Raw genomic sequence first — 21,135 nt, forward strand, 5'->3', positions numbered from 1 at the left:
CGTGCTGAAGTGGAGCCCTGCTGGGGGTGGGGGGTGGGGGTGTCAGCGACCTCTTAGTCACCCTTGACTCCAGGGTCACTGGATCTTCTGTTTCCTTTTGCTTCCCCTGAATTTGTTGGTCTAGTTCCTTGTGAAGTCCCATCCGCTTATTAGCTACACCAGGAGACACAGAGGAAAACGGCGAGCGTCTCAGTCCCAAATGGGGAGAACAGGGCCTCTCCCCAGGCCTGGTGGTGGGGACCAGGGAAACCTCCAGGGTGAAAACACCTGGTAGAAGGTTTCCTGGGGCAGGGACGAAGTGCTCACTATCACTTAGCTGTCCTCTGCCTTGCCCTATGGTCAGTCCCACACACACAGGCACACACACAATGCACACTCACATGCACTCACATACATGCCACATGCACACAATGCATTCACTCACATGCACACAGACACACGCACACAATGCAGCCACACGTGCACACAGACACATGCGCACACACACACATCCACAATGTACTCTCACACTCAGACACGCACACATGCACTCACACACACTGACACAATGCATATCACATACGCCACATGCACACAATGCAGTCACACACGCATACTGACACATGTCCACAATGCACTCTCACCGACTCACAGACACATGCACAGTCACACACTGATACACAATGCACACTCACATGCACTCATACATTGACACATGCACACACCACTCACACTGACACACATCCACAATGCAGTCGCTTACATGCACTGACACACACCCAATGCACACAACCACTCACACACAATGCACACTCACATGCACTTGCACACACACAGACACATGCACACAATGCATTCACACGCACACATACACTGACGCACACACAACACACTTGCCCCACTTAGCACAGGGCCCGGCACAGTGAGGAGCAGGTGACGTTTGTCTAAGTGAGACTGAGGCCTAGGAGTAGGCGACCTGGGCACAGGAGAGCTGAGCGTCCCCTTGCAGGGTACAGCCACGAATCCCAGCAAAATGCACCTTCATCCACAGTGGCCTCTGCCTGGAACGGTTCCTCCTTCCCCTGCTTGCAGGCCTCAGCTCGGGGCCTCCTCTGCCCCTCTCCGAGGCCCCCGTGCCAACCCCCAGGCATGCCCCAGCCCCTCCTGCCTCTTCCTTCCTCTTCCTCCATACCTGGCAAGTCTATCTGCCTCTTTAGTGACACTCTATCTCCCTTCCCCACCCACATGATAACTCCGCCAGGGCAGCGGTGACTCATGGGGGTCTGACACGCAGGTGGGAGTACCTGGCGATGGCCAAAGGACACATGGCTGAACAGCGCTTGGGCAGCATGAGGTCCCTGACCCTGAGCACCTGTCATTTCCCAACTGGCATCCTCGCTCTTTCACATAAGGAAACTGAGGCTCCAGGGACAGGGAGCTCACGCTAGGCCACCAGGCTGGTCACCAGAAGGGCCCAGGACAGCAGACTACCCCACCCATCCCATTCCTCTGGAGTCCCTGTCATAACGGCTTCAGATGGACACGGACCTATGACCACTCCCAAGGCTGGCATGGAGTCACTCTCCTGGGATCTCCCGGTGTGGGCACTGGCCGAGGGTGGGGTGACTGGGGTCCTTTCCCGCGGGCGTGCTGCCCACTGGAGTGTGATGAAGCAGCCCTCTTCCTGTCTCCAGGCGGTCCAGGGCCTGGCAGACACACTGCCTAGACCACCCCTCTCCTGCCCCGCTGCCCTGGCTCCCCAGTGCTCCCTGGACGAGCTCCCCAGGGTCAGATGCTTGAAGCTGACTCACCACAGCTCAGAAGCTGGGCACGCCCGAGTTGCCGGCTCTTGGGGTGGCGCCTCTGAGGGTGATTAAGAGGCTGTTCAGAAAGCCTGGATTGGTGGTGGGCAGCAGGTCCGAGCTGCGGGGCGCAGTAGCCTCTGCAGCCCCAAAAGCTCTCTGGAGAGAAGATGTAAAACCCTGCCTCAGAGGCTTAGACACAGACGCCCCGGCTGGAAGGGCAAGACGGCTGGTGGACTCCCCACTCTCTCTGACCACCTGGGGGCTCGCATACACCCTCACAGCCAGTGCCGGGGAGATGTGCTTGTCACCCTGGGGACCAATTTCTGTGACTGAGTTGTGTCTGTGAACCCCAGGAAGGGCAGGACAGGGTCCTTTACTCTGGACTCTAAACTCAGGGCCTACTGTGGTGCTTGGCCCAAACGGCAGCTCCAGGAGGAATTTGCGGAAGGGGGTCCTCTGGAGACGGTGACGCCCCACCTCTTTGCCTTCTCCTCTTCTGTGGATTCCCTGAGCTGTGCAGGGACCCCAGGGCGAGGGCATGGCCCTTGGATACAAAGACCCTGCCTGCCCCACAGAGGTCTGGGCCCAGCAGAGACAAGACTTGCTCCATTGCCCTTCTGTGGCTGTCGGGCCCATCTCTGTTGAGCTGGTAAGGGACCCACTGTCCACAGTTCAAGCTGGACCTGCTGGCACCAGAGCCCCCAGCACCCCCCAAGCAGGGCCCATGGCATGAGCCCAGCAGCTCAGCCGAGTAGTCCCAGCCTTCCTGCCCAGGCCCAAGCCCCCCAGCCCCAACTGGGTCTCCTTCCAGAGCCGAACTCGCTGCCCCGGAGGGACTGTGAAACCAATGGCCATATTCCAGCTGCGCTGGTGACACAAGAAGTCGGAGTCAGTCCTTCTGGTCTCGAGTAATGCGATTTGCAAGATACACACAGCCCCCGACAAGCCAAGTCTGCCTGGTGGATGGGTTGGCTGGAGGGGGTTTCCCAGGGGCCTAGTTAGAGCCTGGGGGATGAGGAGGGGCTGGAATCTTCCGGGAGGAAGTAGTGGTGGCTCTCCCTGAAGGAGAGAAGCAGAGAAAAAAAAAATGACCGTGGCAGAGAGAATAGAAATTAGGCAGGGAGGGAAGAAAAAGGTGAAAAGGGAGAAGATTAAAAGCATGGAAAATTCTAGGGGCCACAGCTGATCATAAAGGCAGAAGAAAAAGGGTTAAGGCCGGTTAGGAAGCTCCGAGACAGGTGCTCCAGAGAAGGAAGCCAAGAGAAGAGACAGACGGTGACCTGTAATCTCCTTCACGGAGGTCCCAGCTGCTGTCCCGGTCTGGGTCGGAATCCACTGGCCTCCCCTAGTCCCCACTATGCCCCCTGGGTCCCACACCACCAGGAGCTCCGGACCTCCCTCTGGACGCCTGCCCATGGGACTGTCTGTCCTGGCCCAGGTGCCACATGGGCCTAGCCTGGGCTGAGCTGGGTGCCAGGGGTTGCAAGCACCTCCCCAGAGCTGGCCCAAGGCCACCACTGGCCTCCTCCTCTCCCCCCCCGCCCTCTCCCCAGCCTTGGAACCTGATATTCTGCTTTAAGCCACCTTTGGGTTGTGTCCCCAGGACCAGAGGACAGGAGACAGAAGGGCACGTGGGCTATCTTGGCCTCCACCTCCTCCAAGGACGGCAGCCGTTTGTGCTTCCCAAGTTGTGTGGCTCAGCGTCTGCCCTGCAGGTCTAGCGGGCAGCAGACACCCCGCTGTGCCAGGCTGGAGAGGAGAGGCGGGAGGCACATTCATTGCATGGCTGCAGCGTTCTCCCCTGCCCTCTGCTAACCTCCCAGCATGCCGAATGGCCGTCAGCTTACCCCCCTCTGCGAGCCCAACCTGCTCCTCTGGCCCATACCGGTTGGAGAGCCAGGGGGCACACTGGCACACCCATGCTGCCCACCAAGCCCAGGTCCTCAGGTGGGACAGGTCGGGATGGGCATTCTTCCCATGTCCATCCCAGAGCCTGGGTGCAGGTGGACCCGCTTCCTAGACCCTCCATGGGCAGGGGTCGGGGAGATTTTACTAGTAGTTCCTGGGAACTGGTACATGATTCAAACCTTAGTCTGCTCAGCCATCAGGATGAGGTTTTGCAGCCTCTTTAAGGGACCTGAAAAATCCTACCACCCTCAATCAAGCGCAGAGTTAGCTGCTCCCCATTGCCTGGACCATCCCTGGCCCCGGCCCTCTCCAGCCCCTGAGAAACACACATTTGTCCACGTTGGGAGGAGCCCCAGTCTCTGGACAGAGACGGCCCCCAGGGAAGTTGGAGGTCCGAGGCTGCTGGCTGCGCACAGCCCACATGCCCCGCCGAGTCTCAACACTGAGCAACCCGCCGATCCTCCACCGAGCAGCCCCCATCTGTGTCCAGGGCCGGAGCTTTCTCCTCGGCCATCACTGCCGGGCTCCTACGGGCTCCTTCCCCGCCGCCACGTCCACCAGCCATGCTTATCCTGTGTCCAGCCAGCCAGAGCTCCCTGCTCAGAGAAACTCACTCACCCCACGGAACAAGACACCATGTGGAGGTTTCCGAGACAGGACCCTTCCGCTTTTCTGAACCCAAAGGAATCTCCTAAACTTCGCTGGGTGTCAGGGTTCAGGGGAGATCAGGCTAAAGACTTGCAGGAAAAGCCAAGAAAGAGCTTAAGCCTCAAGAAGCCTCCAGATAATGCATGTTTTCTTTTGCACATGGCCAAGAAAAGGGGTTGGAAAAGGACCAGAACTTCCTGAATCTTCGTTGTTCAGGAGAAAGCGACATGGACTCGAGCCCCAATTCTGGAATCTGGCTGCCTGGGCTGGAATCCAGGTTCTGCTTCTCAGCAGCTTCCCGAGGTAGTACGTGACCTAACCTCCCAGTGCCTCGGTTTCTCCAACTGAAAACATGCATGTCCACACCCTCAGCAGATTCCAGAACAAACGTCAGCTGCCAAGGAATGAAACTGGGGAAGAACCCACAAATGTAACCGAGCTACTTCAGTAACCAAATGACATCAGGGTAAAGAGGTCTCACCTGTACGGATGCGTGGCTCAAAGCAAGGACCAAGTGCCATCCTTTCCCCCCAATCATTCCCAGGGAGTGAGGGCGCAGGACCGCTGCGTGGGTTCATTCAGAATAAACATCACCCGACCTCAACTACTTGTCTGGTTAAATTCTCCAGTGAACAGGACAATTTTTCGGATGTGGCTGCAGCCAGCAGACCAGACCTGGGCAGCAATGGATGCTGCCGCGGGTGCACGAGCTGCTGTTCAGTGCCCTCCTCCCTCCGCTGGCCAGTGGTGGGATACTCTCTAGCCACCCATGCTGACCCGCGAGCCAGCGTGTCTCAGACGGGGTTCCTGGAATCCCACCAAGTCAACAGGGGAAGCATCAACAGCCCAGGGAACAGAGACTAAACGCAAGGTGCAAGGGGTGGTGCTACGTCTGCCACAGTAATTAATCCTGATTAAAAATGCCTGTGATTAGCAGCCTCGCTACCTTAGAGGGAAGAGAGAATGATTATTAATAAGAACAGTGCCTCCTAATGAATCTCAGAACAGACCCTAGAATCCCCCTGCCCCTCGGCGGAGCCTTTGGGTTCCACAACCAGAGGGAACGTGCTCTGCCATCAACAACTCCAAGAAGCAATTGCTGGGCACCGTGAAGCCGCTCGGAAACGCCGCATCCTCCACGGAAGCTTCCGGTGCCTGGTGATGTTTACCTCAGCAAGGGAGACTATCTGTGATTTCACCTTGATTGAGCACACACGGAGAGCAAAAGCAACGGAATTCACGACGCGTCCCCCAGGAAGACCCTGGGTCCTCTCAGGGCCAGTCCCTCTCCCCCGGCCAGCCCCCTCCCCTCCCCTTACAATACTTGAAGGCACTCACAGCCCTCTCCCCCGGAGCCATTTACTGGCTTGCAATAGGATGGAATAAGATTCTCTTTTATAGGAGACTGCAGTTTAATAATAAAGTAATTACCGTGACAAAATCCCATTTTTCGAGCTTGGGGTTTTTTCCTCCTATCCTCTCAAACTTGGTCCACTGGATCCCAGGCCAGGGCCTCCCAGAGAGTCCTGCTGATGGTCTAGATTTTCAGATGAGCTCCTTCTTGCCCTGAAAGGTGACCAGTATCAGCCCCAACCCTCCTCACTGGCCATCATGCACCAGCAACAAAAGCTTCAGGGTTCCTAGGAGGGGTCAGATGTTGGGGGACCACGGCACGGGGCTACCCTTCAGGGAGCTAGGCCGGCGCCCAAGTGGGGCTCCTGGAGGTGGGCTGAGTGGGCAGGAAAGCTTCAAAGGGCATGAAGTGAGTGTGGCCCAGGGTCACCCCTCATGAGCTCTTAACAAACACCAGAGCCCAATGCACAGCTGGAGTTCTCCTGGTGTCAGATGATCCGAAATCATCCCGGGATGGTCGGAACTCAGAAATATCACCTCCGCTGCTGGGAGAGGGGCTGAGAAGACAGAGGGACCAACAACAAGTGCCTCTAATTAATCACAGAACTGTTGTGTCTCAGGAGGGACACACCCCATCCCCAGCCTACCTAGGGTCCAACCCAAGGCAGCAGGAAAAGGCTCATGCTTCAGTAGAACGGAATTCCGCTGGGTGAGGTTTTAGTTGGTAATTTCCAGTGTGAAAGACTATAGGCTTAGAAAGCCTGTTTAAATGCTGCATCTTAATGTGCCTCAAACTACGTCTCCTGTCTTGCTTGATTTCACGTCTTTTGCTCCCGCTCTTGTTATCAAATGTGCTGTTGAGATTGAATGTACAGCCTACATATGGTGCCAACACTCACGCAGAGGACCTGCAGCCCCCACCTGGGAGGCTGGAGCACCACAGGCTCTCATTTCTAGAGGCCTGGCCGGGTATGGCCCTAGGCCCCTCCTCCTGTGGCCTTTACCTCCGGGGGCTGCTGCAGGCTCTGGCTCATTCCAAAGGTGGTTTGGGATAAGCGGGTTCCCAAACTAAATGTCGTTATTTGTTTCTTAACGGTTCTGGACCGCCCCAGCTGTGTGTGCTCACCTAAAAACATACACCCACAAATAGCCAGGAAATGGCTGCATTCTAGACCTTTCCGGAGTCCACCGAGACACATGGCCAACCACCCCAGCAGAACAGCCGCGGGCGAGGGAAGGAAAGTGAATGCTCAAAGCCCGGGGCAACAGCAGGCTCTGGCTTTCCCAGGGACAATTCGGGATGGCTATGGCTCCGTGGACATCTTTTTGCCTTCCCACTGCCCCTACAGAAAGCTCCAAATGCCACAAGTCAGGGATGCATTCACCTAGCTCTGGAGAAATCGGGGTGTCTTCCCCGTGGGTCATGTTGGTGGACTCACCCCAACTATGAGCGCTGGTCTAATTCTACCGAGACAGCGCCAAATGTGTGGCTGCCATTTTTCGGAGGCTTGCCTCTACTTCATCTTAACTCAGCCCTCACATTCAGCCAGTGAGGACTATGTCATTCAAGGAAGACACTGAGGTTCAGAGTGGTGATAACTAAGACAACAGAATCAATAAACCATGGATTGGTCTCCAGACCAGGACCCTTACTCTAAATCCTACACTCTATCTGCAGAAACCCAGAGCTACGCTTCCTGCTGCCTGGGACATTCCTGCCATGCCTGGGTGGCTGTACAGCAGATCTGTCCCCAATAACCTGACCTGGCCACCCCAGAGATTCCCAAGTCAGTCCTATGCTCATGGAAAACCGGGAGGGGCTGGGAACCTGACCTCGGAGGCCTATCCTGACTCCCTGTGATTCAGTGTCAACTGGGAATTTAGGGCAATGGCCATGGCCTGGGATTGGATGACTTCCTGCCTGTCAGTTTGGGGGCTCCCCAGTGGCTCCTGGGCTGTGTCCAGGAGTCCCCAGATGTCACAGGTGGTCCTGGGAAGATGGCACCAAAGATCAAGGGCCCTGGGCTGCAGGCCACTGCCGGCCACCCTCTGCCACTGCCGGCCACCCTCTGCCACTGCTGGCCACCCTCTGCTCCTGGACCAGCCTCTGCTCCTGACCATCACACAGTTCCCCTGTCCCTCTGCGGCTGCTACGTTTGGCAGTCCCTCATGCATGGGCCCTTGTAACGGGCTGACCCAAGTGCCCAGGGGCTAGCTGCCCTGGGCCAGCTCGGAAGGTCCCATCTTTGCCTTCTCTGTCCATTGCTCCACCTTAAACCACCTTCTATAGCTCCTTGGAGGGCCAAGGGGCACAAACGGGTAAGAACCCATCACCCAAAGGCCCAGACCCCTGGAGTCTCTCATTGTCTCCAAGAAACACACACACACACACACACACACACACACACACACACAAACACACAATCACTCTTCTCCATTTCTCCTCCAACGTGTGCATGGAAGCGGGGGTGGGGAGACATCTTCATGGAGACTCTTGGCCTGGCCTGGCCAAGTTCCTTGGGGTGGGCACCCTGTACTCTCTCTCTCTCCAGTCTCGAAGCCCCCAACACGGGGTGCAGAACGCGTCCTATGGGAACCCCTCTCACTGGGCCCTGCAGGCCCCAGGATGAGCCTGAAGTGCTCACAATCCCACCAGGCTCCTCCAGCAGCCGCCCCCACCCCTGCAGGCCCAAGCAGAGGGTGAGGGTGGGAACCGAAAACAAGGCAGACGCCACAGCGCCAGGAGGAAGAGACAGGCCCAGAGATGTGGGCAGCCAGGGTGGGTGAGGCCAGGGTATTGAAGCCCGGGCCAGGCTGGCGCCGGGAACTGCGGCCCACAGAGGCCGAGGGGCCTGGGGGAGACGAGGGAGTCCCCCTCTGTCCCCAGTGCAGGCCTGGGACTGCACTAATTCCGCATTGGGTGGCAGCGCAGGACCCCCGTCCCCTCCCCCAACGCCCCGGCCGGCCGGCGGGCAGGCGGCTGCTGATGCTCTGTGCGCACCTCCCCACGGGGCATCCTGGGGATCTGGTGGCTCAGAGTCGCCGACTTTCCTGCCCCCACCCAACCCCAACTCGCCAGCCGGAGCTTCCTGCGCAGCCCCCAAGATTGCAAAAGTCTGGCCCCAGCCCCCTCCCCGGCCAGAGCTCCTGGGGCCTCCCTCGCCAGGCGGGTGGCCCACCTCCCCCGCCTCCCCGGAGGCCCGGCGCGCGGTCTGCGCTGCAGCAGAGCTCGGCGCCCCCGCCGCCACCTCTGCGCGCCCCCCGGCTTTCCCGACGCTGCCAGGGAGGATGCCCCGCTCCCCGCCCCGAGTCCCCAGCGGCCCGGCGCGAAGTTCCCCAAAGTGACCCGGGCGCCGAGAACCCCCGCCCCCTCCCCTCGGGCTTCCCCGGAGACTCCGCCCGCCGCCCCCTCCCGCGCCTTCGGAAAAGTTGCGAGCGACGCCCCAAACTCCGGCCCCCCCGCCTCGCGCCGCGCGCGCCCTGGGCGCCCCCGCGCTCGGCCGCCGCGCAGGGGCGCAGTTCCCCCTACCCCAGCCCCGGCGCCATGACGCGGGGAGCGCAGCGGGGGCCACCGGTGGCGGCGGCGGCGCAGAGGCGGCCAAGTGCGGGGCGTGGGCGGCAGCGCGGGGCGCACGTGCGCCGGGCCGGGGGCCGGGGCCGGGCGGGGGGCCGCTTACCTGTTGGAGGTAGAGGAAGGCGGGCGGGCAGGGCACGGAGTGCGGGAGCATGCTGCCGGAGTTGGACAGCAGGAGGCAGCCCGAGTTCGCCATGGAGCACAGCATGGGGCGGCAGGGGGGCGCCCGGCGGCGGCTCTGCGCTCGCTGCGTCCCTCGGAGTGTGCGCGCGCCCTGCCTCCCGGGCGCCCTCCCGGTCTCTCTCCTCCTCCTCCTCTGGGCCTCCCCTCCCCCTCGTGGCGCTCTTTAAGAGGGAGGCATCGAAAGGAGAGCGGCGCGCCTCTGCCCGGTGTTCCCCCTGCCCGGGCGGGGAGGCTGGAGAGAGCGCGCGCGAGAATACGGCCAGAGAGTCTGTGCGCGAGAGATCGGGCGAGCGGGCGAGAGCAGGAGTCAGTCACTTTGGAGCCTCCGGAGCCCTGTCTGCAAAGAGTGGTGCGTGTGCGTGTGTGAGTGCGCGCGTGTGCGCGCGTGTGTAGCGGTGGGAGGGGGAGTCCCTGGCGTACTCCAACATCAAACGGAGCCCCGCGCGGAGGGAAGAGAATCCGGAGCGACGGCACAACAGCTGATCCCACACTTAACCCCTCGCCCGCCGGCACCGGGGCAGCCCTCCCTCGCGCCCTCCCACGCTCGGGCCCCTGCGCGCCCCTCCTCCCCCCCGTTGCCAGCACTTGCTCCTGGCCTGGGGGGTCTGGAATCTCCCTTTGCCCCCGCTCCGTTCTCCGGCCGCTGCGGAGAGGAGGAGCCGCTCCGCCGGCTCTGCGGCCGACCGACCGGAAGGCGCCTCGTCCTGTTTCGCGTTCAGAGAAGCGCCTTTCCTAAGGGAGGCCGGCTCAGTGGCGGGGATGTCGGTGATGTAATCCGAGGGCATCTACGCAGAGGCTTCCGCGCTGGGGAAGGCTTCTCTGGCTGCCCAGGGCTTGGAAATCCAACCAGAGCCTCCAGGAGCGTCTCCTGCCCTCCTGCTGGCCCCCAGACCCCATCATACATCCCAGCCTCCTGCCACAGGCACCTGGTCTTGTGGCTACTTAGATGGGGGTGGGGGACACGGGCACCGGCCACAATGCATCCTCCCCTCCCTGTACCCAGACACACTGGACTTGACGTGTTTCGCTCCCACGGGACAGGCGTGCATAGGTCCCCACCTCCTTGCCCCATTCAGCATGTGGCAGAGGTCTCGGCAGTGCCCCTTGTTCCACCACTGTGACTGTGCACACACCTGCAGCTTCAGCGGCCACACACACACCCACTGGCCTGCCCCGAGTCCACACTCACCAGAGGCCCCGTGGATCAGTCTCAGTTTACCAGGATAAGCCACAGGTGAGCTTGGCTGCAAGAGGGATGGGCTGCCAGTGGCCACTGTCAGAGGCAGAGCCAGTGGCTCATGCCTAACCTCACGCCTTCCAGGAAAGGGGCAGATCCCAGGCACCCAGTACCCATTCTGAACGCACCTGTCCTACCTTAGGGCACTTGTGACTCCCCTCCTCTCACTGCAGACAGTGAGCCCTGAGCTGGAGGGAGGCAGGCCTGGGGCCGCCTGGCAGTGGGGAGATGGCTGGCCCGGCAGTCATGTCGGACCCTCACTTGCTGTGTGATCTCAGGAAGGTCGATTGTCCCCTTGGGGCCTTGGTTTCCACATCCAGCCCGAGAGATGGGTCAGATGTTGTCTGAGATCCCTGTTGCACCCACTGCAGGACACGTGGCCTGAGGGCCATTGAGGAAGAGGGAACAAGGAAGGGAGGGAGAGAAGGGTGGCCTCTCCACGCCCAGTTTAGGAGGCTCCATTTGAACAAGGCAGGTAGGTGCAGGCACCTGGGACCATTCTCTCAGGTGCCCCTTGTTCATCTTCTTCGTAGAGGAGCTGGGATGTGGAGTCCGGGAGGGAGGCAGACAGGGGAAGAGAGAAGGCTCAGGGGAGAGACGAGGCAGGCGAGCTGGCCATCTAGCCGTGTGGTCTGACCTGCAATCCTGCTCTGTGTTCCCTCTGGGGTGGTGCTGGCACAGGACAAGGATAGGGGGCTGGTCTGTCTCCACAGGGTCTTGGCTATGGACTTGATGAGGCCCTCCCTGCTGTCAGTAACTTGGTTTCCCAGCCTAGGACAGTGGTGGGGGTCCCAGCGCAAGGGCCGGGCATGCCTGGGCCAGGAAGATGAGGTGGGTTGTAGCATTTGCCACCTGAGCCTCGCAGAAGGGCTCCTCGTGAGCGTGGTGCCCTGGAGTGGCCCTTGCTGCCTCCCTCCTGAGTCAGGTTGTTCTTGCTTGTTCCAGAAGCCATCCCTCTTTTGTCTTCTCTGGGCACCTGTCCGTCACCACTGCCCTGCTGCACCTTCCCTGGAGGATGCTCAGGAATTCGGGACAGCCACATAGCATTCAGCCGAAACCCAGGCTCCAGATCCACCCTGCCTGTGAATCATTTGCTCATTAATTTGCCATTATGACCATTATGACCAAGTATCTCCTGTGGAATCCAAGCCTCATCCCCTCCAGAAAGGGATTTGGGAGTGCTTCCTAAGCCATGCCTGACACAGAGCCACTTTTTGAGTCAACGCTACTGTTTTTCCTTATTGAGAACCCACTATATGCAGACAGTGTGCTCGGTGCTGGGGCTGCAGAAATCAAGTTCTCTGCCCTGGAGTGAGCACACCGTCTAGTGGGGGAAACCAAGCTTGTAAACGAAGACTGCAGCCTAATGTACTGAGAGCTTTGACAGCCCAGGACAGGGAGAGCTCAGATCTGGGGTGTGGCCAGGGAAGGTTTCCTGGACCCCTGAGCTCAGTCATTGGCCCAAAGAAAGCCAGGGTGGTCCCCACTATCTGCATCTGCATCACTTCTGGCAGCCCTGCATCTGGTCACCTGTGTGCCTCTCTGCCCAGCCACCTGCCTTCCAGCCTCACCTCCAGATTGCACTGGGCCCAGGAGCATGTCTGGACACCTGCCTCCATCAGGCGGCTCATCACACCCAGCTCCAGAGAGAGAGGACTGAGAATAGCAGAATGGAATGAAAATAATACCTCCAGAAAAAGGATCTGAACGTGTGTGTTTGGCTTATTTCTTGGGACAGGGGCTGTTACGCTGTGCTTCAGCACGAGCCAGTTAGCGAACAGCACGCACCTCAGTGCTCCGCTGTGATCGTTTCAGAGTGTCGCGCAGGCCTGACTCTGCGGACCCCACCGGCAGGAACCATGCCCTCATCACCTCCTACCTCCAGTACCTGGCACCAGGGCGGTACGAAGCTTTTCAGATTCTCCAGGCCCCATGCAGCCCTCCCGAGCCCCTGGTGCCTTGTGGACTGGGGTGGGTGGCCCTGAGCAGGGGGTGGGGGAAGCCTGTGCTCCTGGTGGCTGTGCTGCCCCCGCTCCTGGGGCGGAGGGAGGCTGCGTGCTGGGAAGAGCTGTCACTCCAGTGCTAATATTCACTACTTAAAAAAAAGAGGCAAGAAAAAATACCCCATTCGCCCTGAATCTGAGAAGGGCCTTGTTAGGCAGGCAGGAACTGAGCTGTAATTATTTCTGCGCTCCTGGGCACCACTATAAATATCAGGCAAGGGAGGCACCTCAGAAGGTTCCGATGGTTCCAAGGCTTTGGAGATCTCCTGGCTCCTTCCTGCCCCCATCCTATGTCACCTTCCCTGGCAGGGGCCTTGGAGGGTGCAGGCACTGCCTCTCCTCCAGTTGGGCAGGGCGTGTCTTCCCCAGCTTCCCTGAGCGTGCCTGCCTGGGAAATTCTGGCCCACGTAACCTTGCCAGATGCCCTGAATCTCTTCAGTGTGTACCTCTGTGAAATGGACACACAGGATTCTCCCTGGGAGAGCATTTGCTAAAAGGTGTGCAGGGGAATACTAGACTCCAAGGTGGCCTGTGTTTTTAACAAAAGGTGGGCCAAATGAGTCCTGTGGTCAGATGACTTGGGGGAGTATTTCTTTTGACCCCTACCCATGTCCTTTGGAAATTCCCAAGGTGGCAAGTGGCAAATCATAGTAGAAAGGAAGCAACTCCACACTCCCTTTAGGGGAGGAAGGGAGGTGAATTCCTCATGCTCCTGCCCCTCTTTCCCCTTCCAGGCGCCCAGGCCGACCATCCTCAGGCTTCCCCTGCGCCGTGAGGACAGTGTGCAGCTTGGCAGCAGCGCTCCCAGGACAAGGAGTGAGCTCACAGTCTCTGGTTGCAGCTGTGCTTGGCCGCGCCAAGCCGAGCCTTCATCGACAAATACATCGTGCTTTCCGCAGAGCCAGACCTTCCTGCCCCAGCCCTGGGGTATTTGGCCTGGGCTTGGGCATGAGCACTGGGGGACGAAAGAGGCAGAGTGGCAGAACTAGATCTCCACAGTGGGGTGGGGTGGGCATGGCTCAGGGATGGGAGGATGTGTGCGTGCCTGTGTGTGTGTGATGGGGTGTGGGGAGAGCCAAGAAGCCACTCTGACCAGCTGGAGTCCTGTATCACCATGGAACACTTTGCAGGGGAATTAATGTCCCAATTCAGCAGCCAGGGCAACAGGGTTGGAGTCAGGGAGAAGCCCCCACTCAGGCTTTCATGGGATGCCCCCAGCAGACACCACGGGGCAAGGTCAGGCTGGGGATGGGAAACCCAGCAGACACCATGGGGGAAGGTCAGGCTGCGGATGGGAAACCCGGCAGACACCATGGGGCAAGGTCAGCTTGGGGATGGGAAACTCGTCAGCCTTTTTTTAAAAAAATGTAGAAATTCTCACATTCCCAGAGGAGGCGGCTTCCTTATATCAGGAGTCGGGGGCTGCTTCCACTTTGTTCTGGCCTGTTTAATCTCCCCAGAAGGGCAGAAAAGCCGGCAGAGGGTCCCTGCAAGCAGGGGTGAAGCAAGCCCAGGGATGAGCCGTCGGTGCAGCCCTGGCAGGCGAGGCCTCGCTGGAGGTGGCCAGCAGAGGGCCCACTCACACCACCTTCACCGGCTGGCCTGCGAGGAAGGGCTGCTGGGGTGCTCCCCACCCCCAACCCCCTCTGCCTCCCTCTGCCAGGGGTCCTCAGCAGTGCAGAGGGAAAGCTAAGCCCAGCCCAGCTGCCGGGGCCAGCACTCACCTTCCGGCTCAGCGGGGGTCCCCCACCCACTGGCACTGTCCCCCTGGCCCCAGCAGAGACTGCAGCAAAAGTAAAAATCGGCGTGCAAAGGAAGTTTATTTATCTGTTTAATTAAGAGGCGTTTGCCAGCCACATTCGGGTCCATCCGTCTCACTTACAACCATGTCCCAGCAAAATTAAACATAATAAATACAGGGAGACTGAAAGCGAAGGGCACACTTGAGATATATGGGCAGAGCCAGGAGTTGCACAGGGTTGCAGTTATAAGCACATCTCTCTCTTGCAAGTTCCTCTCCCCTCGGGGGCCCAGGAGCCGGAGGAATGCGCTCAGAGAAGGGGCTGTGGGTGCCGCTCACTCTGCTCCTTCCACTCCGCACTGTTGCCAAGCTTTATTTATTTTAAATGAGCCCCCAGGACTTCTCCCTTCTCCTCTTCTGTGGAAGGCGAGCGAGCTCTACACCGAGCAAAAGGAACATCTGAAAGCAGCCAGCACTGTGATGTTCCACCCCAGGGCTCGGTGGGTAAGAGGCCTTGGAAGCTGCGGCCCTGGAAAGCTCGTTGCAAGCTCCTGCTGCATCTGGGCCATGAGCTCCTGGCAAGGAGACAGCCTAGGCTGAGCAGAGCCTGGGAGAAACAGATCTTTGGTCTTCAGTGCCAGCTGTGGCCAAGCCACCGTTTGGCAAACTGGGCCCAGAATCCCACAGAAGCCAAAGGAAGAGGGGGGCACTTTGATTTCTGTCTCTCATCTGAAGGCTCAAGAGCCTGGCCATTTGCTTAAACTTCCCAGGAACAGAAGCACACAAAGGGGGAGAATGGCAATTTATTATTACTGATTGCTAACTGTAACAATACCTTGTATCTGCTCAGTGCTTTCCTAACCTTTTCAAAGAGCCTTCATGTATCTCACCTGATCATCACAAGTTAGGTAGGGAAGGTGTAATGATGCCCATTCGATATATGATGACCCTTTTAGGATCACAGAGGTGGTCCAAGGTCACACAACCAGTTAGAGGCAGCGTCTGGGCCAGAAGGCAAGACTTGGAACTTGGATTTATGGGAGCCCTTTTCTTCCCTTCGACTACTGTGCTGGGCTCATGCCCTTCTGTGAACATGCTCGTCGTTAGCCCTTGGCTCTCTCTCCTAACAGGATCAACCCCAAACCAAATCCGTTAATGTAATAGTCATTTGCAATAGCTTGGGCGTTTACTAATCACACCACCGCTCCGTCTGTGCAGCAATTATCTCGAATTTCCTCTTTCTCATTAGGCAGGAGGTCGCGAGGACTCAGTGGGTTGCTGAGCCCTGTGATGACGCCAAGGAGAGGAGCTGCTGCTAGACCAAGGAAGCCCTCCCTCAGCGTTCCTAGCTGATCTTCCATGCAGCGCCCAATTTCCTGGGCCCTCACCCCGTGCTCAGCTGACCCACCAGCCCCGAGCCCTCCTGTCCTGCCCAAGCCTGTGCATGTGTGCCCTTGTGCCCAGACCATAGATGGCTACAGAAAAGAGAGTCCTGAATGGCTTGGGAAGTTGTATATTTGCTTGGAGATGATGACTCCAGCTCGGACTGGGTATCCAGTGAAGTGCCCTTGGATGGTTGGGCCCCCACTGCAGACATGACTGATGACAGCCTTTGCTCCTGCCAGGGCAGGGATCGCACCAGCCAAGGAAAACCCATATCACTCGCTGCTCCACGCAGCCCACCCAGGAGGCATGCACCGCTAACATCACTCTTGGTACCCCCACTTGCTCTCCTTCAGCATCAGGGTCAACTCCAGCCTCCTGTTTGAGGTCACCTCTTTCCCCCAATCAAATAACAGAGTGAAGGCCGGGTGCAGTGGCTCACGCCTGTAATCCCAGCACTTTGGGAGGCCAAGGCGGGTGGATCACCTGAGGCCAGGAGTTTGAGATCAGCCTGGGCAACATGGTGAAACCCCATCTCTACTAAAAATACAAAATTAGCCAGGCGTGGTGACACATGCCTTTAATCCTAGCTACTCGGGAGGCTGAGGCAGGAGAATCACTTGAATCTGGGAGGCGGAGGATGCGGTGAGCCGTGATCGCGCCATTGCACTCCAGCCTGGGCAACAAGAGTAAATCTCTGTCTCACCAAAAAAAAAAAAAAAAACAAAAAAACAGAGTGAAGAAGAAGAAAGGAGTCCTCAGGGACAAGAGTGATGGGGCTGGAAGGGGAAGTGGCATCACGTCGCCCAGTCCCCGGCCTTCTAGCTGGCAGACACCAAAGCCTTCAGAGACACGTGCTCTCTTTTTTTTCCCCTTGAAGCTCTCCACTGGGGGAGACCCTGCTGTCTCTCCGGGGAGCCCAGTTAGGTTTTTATCACCCTGAGTGCCAAGAAACTCTGCCTCGTGGTACACAAACCTTTTCCGTCTTAATTTTATTCAAAGGGTGAAGGCTTTGAAAGAGTGACAAGGGGGAGCTTAGACCAGAAGCTGAAGCCACTGCCGCTCCCTGTAGCTCCCAGGAGGGACTGGGGCCACTGACCAAAACTTGTAGAGCAAAGCCGTGCATAAAGGGAGGGGGCTGAGTGAGCACAGCTCTTGCATACCGATGGGGAACAGGAGCCCTGCACTCTCAGGGTGTCCAAAAGGGAAGACTGTACACACAATGTGGGTACAATTTGGGTAGCTCCCATTGCTACGGCCGGCATGAATTTGCACCATGTTTGGTTAGAATTGAACTGAGGAAACAGCATTCAGGGTTCCTGAGTAGAGACCCATGGGAAGAGGTCAAGGTTTGTTCTTCCATCAACAGCGGGTGGGTCTGAGCTGACCCCTGGGTAGAGGCAGCAAGGGTCCACCTCCAGCAGTGAAGTGGCTGGGTGCTCCCATTTGCCATCAATTTTTAGAAAATCTTACTTAACAGAGAAACCAATATCCCTTCCTCCAGCACTGGGCAAGGAGAGGCCACATGGAGAGCACGTGCAGCACTGTAGAGAGGGAATGGTGGCCCGGGGGTACCCCGCACCCCAGGACTGGGAAGTTAGGACCTTCAAACTCTGACCAAACCTGAAAGACTCTGGAAAAAGCAGCTGCCTGTAGCCCCAGCCCCAGCACTCAGTGAGTTAAAAAGCAACCGCAAGGCCTCGGGAAACAGAATGTGAGGGGCGGGCACTCTGTTCGTCCCCTGCCCCTGCATGCCCCCTAAAGCCAAAGCGTCAGCTCATTAAAAGCTCATTAGGAGCCCAAGGCACACAAAGGCCCGGAGAGGCATTACTGTCCTGGCAGAGTGCGTGGCCCTGGGGAGGCCGATGCACTGCTAGGCAGCCAGTGCCAAGCTGCAGACAGGGGCCGGGCCATGGAGTGACGAGGCGGCCGGCGGCGGGAGGTAGGGGTGCAAGGTCCTTCTAACGAAGCCTCATGGGAGCTGAGCTTGTCCCAGGACTCAAGGGAGTGGGGACGAGCATATCTGCCAGGAAGCAAAGGAACAGATGCAGACGGTAACCTACAGACTCACCTCCCCACACCTCCACAATGACAGAGGCCAGATAAGAGTTCCTTTCTCAGGCTTTGAGAGCAAGGAGAAGGCAGGGTTAGGCAGGACCCTGGGCAGCCTCTTCCCTCCCGGCAGCCTAAGATACACCAGGGAAGTTGTGTGAATTGCTGCCCGGTGAGCAGAGATGGGGCAGTGGATGCTGATGTGTTTTAGTCCCTAAAAGTTGCCCAAGAGCAGGGGAAGTGCCTATCTGGTGGGGGTGTGGAAGCTTGTCTTGAGTTAGGTGTGAAGCTATTCTGAGGCTGCCACCCCTGCCAACCCCCTACCGTCTCCTCCCTCTTGATCCTGGGAGGAAAATCCCTCCCCTTTCCTGATCCACTCTAGCATTGGGGTCCAGCGATGTTTTGGCCCCAACACAACTCTCCAGTTCCAAGGCATGAGGTTTCTGAGAATTCACTGGCAAGGAGGTGTGGGAAGTTGGCAGCCAGCTGAGGGCCCTATGCTGCTCTTAGCCGCTCCCGGCCTTTCCTCCCACTGAGAGTTGCTGCATCAGGATGGGGGGGAGCCGTCTGTTCCTGCTCTTACTTCCCTAGGATGCTGTGACTTTTGATTCCTGCTTGATTAATATACAGCCAACAGAGACTGTATTTAAGGCAGCTTTAATTCTCTCAGGTCACCAAACTCGGGAGCAGCAAAGCTGCAAGGAGCCAGCCCCGCAATAGATCAAACACCAGGACCTTCAAATCGCTCTGTGGCCCAATTTCTTATTGCTGCTGCTGCCTGATAACCCTCCCAGCTTGGAGGCAATAGCTCCTTTTTCTAGGGGTGGACACGGGGGCTGGATGTGGATGTCCATGGCTGAAACCCTCCTGGCAGCACGGAACGAGAGCTGGAAGGACCGGGCACGAGAGTGAGACCGTCAGCACCAGGGACAGCTCCAGCCAGACCCTGGAGCCGCCGTGGCTGCCTACACCTCTGTCTCCCTGGGCCCAAACAAGCACGGGTGTCAGTGAACTCTCTGTTTTGCAGGGGTGGCCAGCGGCTAGCCCTGCTGATGGCCACCTTTTACCAAAACATCCTCGCCTGTTGAGTTAGCCTGCTGCTCCCTTTGGGGCCCTGCACACTCTCACTGGCTCTGTCTCCCTTTAGGAGATCCAGCTTTTGCCATCCCTGACCCCCAGAGGGAAGCAGGCTGCTGTGAGGACTATCTGTCTGGCCTCTGTGCCAGCCCCTGGTGCCCAGGGCTTCTGTGGGGCCAACAGTTTCCTTCCTGGCTGAACCTCATCCGCTTCCAACTTGCCTCATTAGCATCTCCTGAAAGGCAGGCTAATTCCTCTGCTGAGCACCTGGGTGTTCACTTGCTCGGTGGGGGCAGGGGCAGGCATGCCGGCATGGCTGCCGTTTCCTCCAAAGCACCTTTTATAGACCTGGTCCGTGTTGCAATTTGGGAGGCACCGGGGAGCAGCACAATGTGGGGAGATTACGCTCGGAAGCCGGGCTTGTAAATTACCTCCCAGTGGGGGCAGGGAATGTGCCTATTAACAGAGAACCTGGTGCACACAGCCATTCTCATTTAAGAGCAGGATCTTCCCGGATCAGACTCTGATCAATCCTTGCTGCCACCAACACACCATATATTAGGAAGAAATGTTTGCATTGAAGTTGGAGGAAGCCCCATACTCACCTCCCCCCGCCAACCCCCTACTGCTGTTTTATTAGGATTTTCTCTAAACCCAGCCCCATTGGATTTATTCCCCCTGCTCTGCCTCTATCCACTTAAAAATATTGTCTATGGATTTTCAAATTATTGCTACACTTTCTAAGAGAAGGATGCAGTGGTTAAAAATTAACAGCAAATTTATGGGAATTCTATATGGCAATTACAGAATTATAATGAAGTGGCTGCCACTTGGCTGAGTGTGGGTAATTGGAAATCCACACTGGGAAGACTAGAATCTTTACTGTATTGGAATTGTGTTTTTGAGAGTAAATGCTGTGGAGAGGGTCAATGGAGCCTTGAGTAGGCCAAGTTCTTCTCTACAGGAAAAAGTGGTCTGCTCACTGCCTATTGGGAGGCAATTTAGAAGGAGAATCACTTATGCTGGCCCACAGGAAGGTGGCTGGAAACCACTGGGGGAGGTAGGTGTTCCGGGCTAGGGGAGCAGGCCTGATGGTGGAGGAGGTGGGAGTGGGAGAGCATGAAGGGAGGAAGGCCAGGGCATCACCAGCAGAGGGAAGGCCCACTGTGGTGCAGCTCGAGCCTGACAGAAGGCAGCACCGAAACCCTGATGTTCTCCCTGCCCTGTGGGTTCATTTTCCTTGGAAAAAAATTTTGGTAAAAAAACAGAGATGATTTTATCATGAAGACACCAATGTTGCTCTCCTTTCACATGGCGCTGTCCTCGCTCCCACAGCTGCTGTGGTAGAAATGGACTTTGCCTCTGATCTCCTCTGCAGCTCTTTAGGGCCTTAGTGGCTGAGAGGTGGAGCAGGAGTCTGTGATAAGGGAGCCCAGATTCCGAGCAAGGGGGTTCTGCCAGGAATCTAGGTACAAACTGCCTCCTGGAAGCCAGGTGCGGTGGCTCACACCTGTAATCCCAGCACTTTGGGAGGCTGAGGCGGGTGGATCACTTGAGGTCAGGAGTTCAAGACCAGCCTGGCCAACATGGTGAAACCCTGTCTCTACTAAAAATACAAAAATTAGCCAGGCATGGTGGGCATGCCTGTAGTCCCAGCTACCGGGGAGGCTGAGGCAGGAGAATTGCTTGAACCTGGGAGGCGGAGGTTGCAGTGAGCTGAGATTGCACCAGCCACTGTACTCTAGCCTGGGTGACAAAGTGAGAGTCTGTCTCAAAAGAAAAAAAAAAACTGCTTCCTGGTTCTTCAAGAGTTTTGTGTAGACCTGGTGCTGTTGAGTGCAGGGGCCACGGGCCACATGTGGGCATTCAGAGCTAAAACACGGCCGGTTCTAATTGAGACACTCCCTGTGTGTGTGGGTGTGTGTGTGTGTGTGTGTGTGTGTGAAATGCACATGGGATTTTGATGACTTGGGACCATAAAAAGAGTGAAAAAATAGTTTGTATCTAGATTACATGTCAAAATGATCATATTCAGGTATATTGGGTTACATAAAGCGTATAATTGAGTGCCCCCAGTTTTGTTTGTTTTACTTTCTCAATGTGGGTGCTGAAGAATTAAGCATTTCCATGTGTGGCCTGCATTATGCTTCTATTGGGCAGCTCTGGTCTAGAACATGGGCAGATGTCTTTCC

The 21,135-nt window shown here is 57.5% G+C and overlaps 1 protein-coding gene and 1 long non-coding RNA gene across 60 annotated transcripts in view, besides 4 other annotated features; one reads left to right on the forward strand and one right to left on the reverse strand.

The window, feature by feature from the left end:
* The window catches only part of RBFOX3 (RNA binding fox-1 homolog 3), a 576,227-nt gene that overhangs the window by 84,549 nt on the left and 470,543 nt on the right, over positions 1–21,135 (reverse strand). Inside the window, exon 5 of one of the 58 annotated variants that reach the window (NM_001385820.1) lies at positions 5,772–5,906. The exons of the other annotated variants lie outside the window; for them this stretch is intronic. The gene's annotated coding sequence lies outside the window, so the exon portion shown is untranslated. The remainder of the gene's footprint in view (positions 1–5,771; positions 5,907–21,135) is intronic. 58 annotated transcript variants of the gene reach the window in all.
* Positions 3,311–3,990: an enhancer, noted in NCBI's record as "H3K27ac-H3K4me1 hESC enhancer chr17:77173286-77173965 (GRCh37/hg19 assembly coordinates)". NCBI's record gives its function as "activates a minimal SCP1, AML or CMV promoter by ChIP-STARR-seq in primed H9 embryonic stem cells {active_cell/tissue: H9 hESC(primed)}" and the evidence as "EXISTENCE:reporter gene assay evidence [ECO:0000049][PMID:30033119]".
* LOC124904069 (uncharacterized) lies at positions 9,376–12,389 on the forward strand. Of its 2 annotated transcripts, XR_007065926.1 has the most exons (3): positions 10,611–10,684; positions 11,059–11,162; positions 11,633–11,797. It is a non-coding gene; the product is annotated as an uncharacterized LOC124904069 (long non-coding RNA). The 2 variants fall into 2 exon arrangements; XR_007065925.1 differs by lacking the exons at positions 10,611–10,684; positions 11,059–11,162 and adding an exon at positions 9,376–9,799 and having other exon boundaries at positions 11,633–12,389.
* Positions 9,384–10,264: an enhancer, noted in NCBI's record as "H3K4me1 hESC enhancer chr17:77179359-77180239 (GRCh37/hg19 assembly coordinates)". NCBI's record gives its function as "activates a minimal SCP1, AML or CMV promoter by ChIP-STARR-seq in naive H9 embryonic stem cells {active_cell/tissue: H9 hESC(naive)}" and the evidence as "EXISTENCE:reporter gene assay evidence [ECO:0000049][PMID:30033119]".
* Positions 14,194–14,353: a silencer, noted in NCBI's record as "silent region_9080". NCBI's record gives its function as "represses an Ori minimal core promoter by ATAC-STARR-seq in GM12878 lymphoblastoid cells {active_cell/tissue: GM12878}" and the evidence as "EXISTENCE:reporter gene assay evidence [ECO:0000049][PMID:35858748]".
* Positions 18,918–19,575: an enhancer, noted in NCBI's record as "OCT4-NANOG-H3K27ac-H3K4me1 hESC enhancer chr17:77188893-77189550 (GRCh37/hg19 assembly coordinates)". NCBI's record gives its function as "activates a minimal SCP1, AML or CMV promoter by ChIP-STARR-seq in primed H9 embryonic stem cells {active_cell/tissue: H9 hESC(primed)}" and the evidence as "EXISTENCE:reporter gene assay evidence [ECO:0000049][PMID:30033119]".

This window comes from Homo sapiens, chromosome 17 (assembly GCF_000001405.40).
Source record: "Homo sapiens chromosome 17, GRCh38.p14 Primary Assembly".
NCBI lineage: Eukaryota > Metazoa > Chordata > Mammalia > Primates > Hominidae > Homo > Homo sapiens.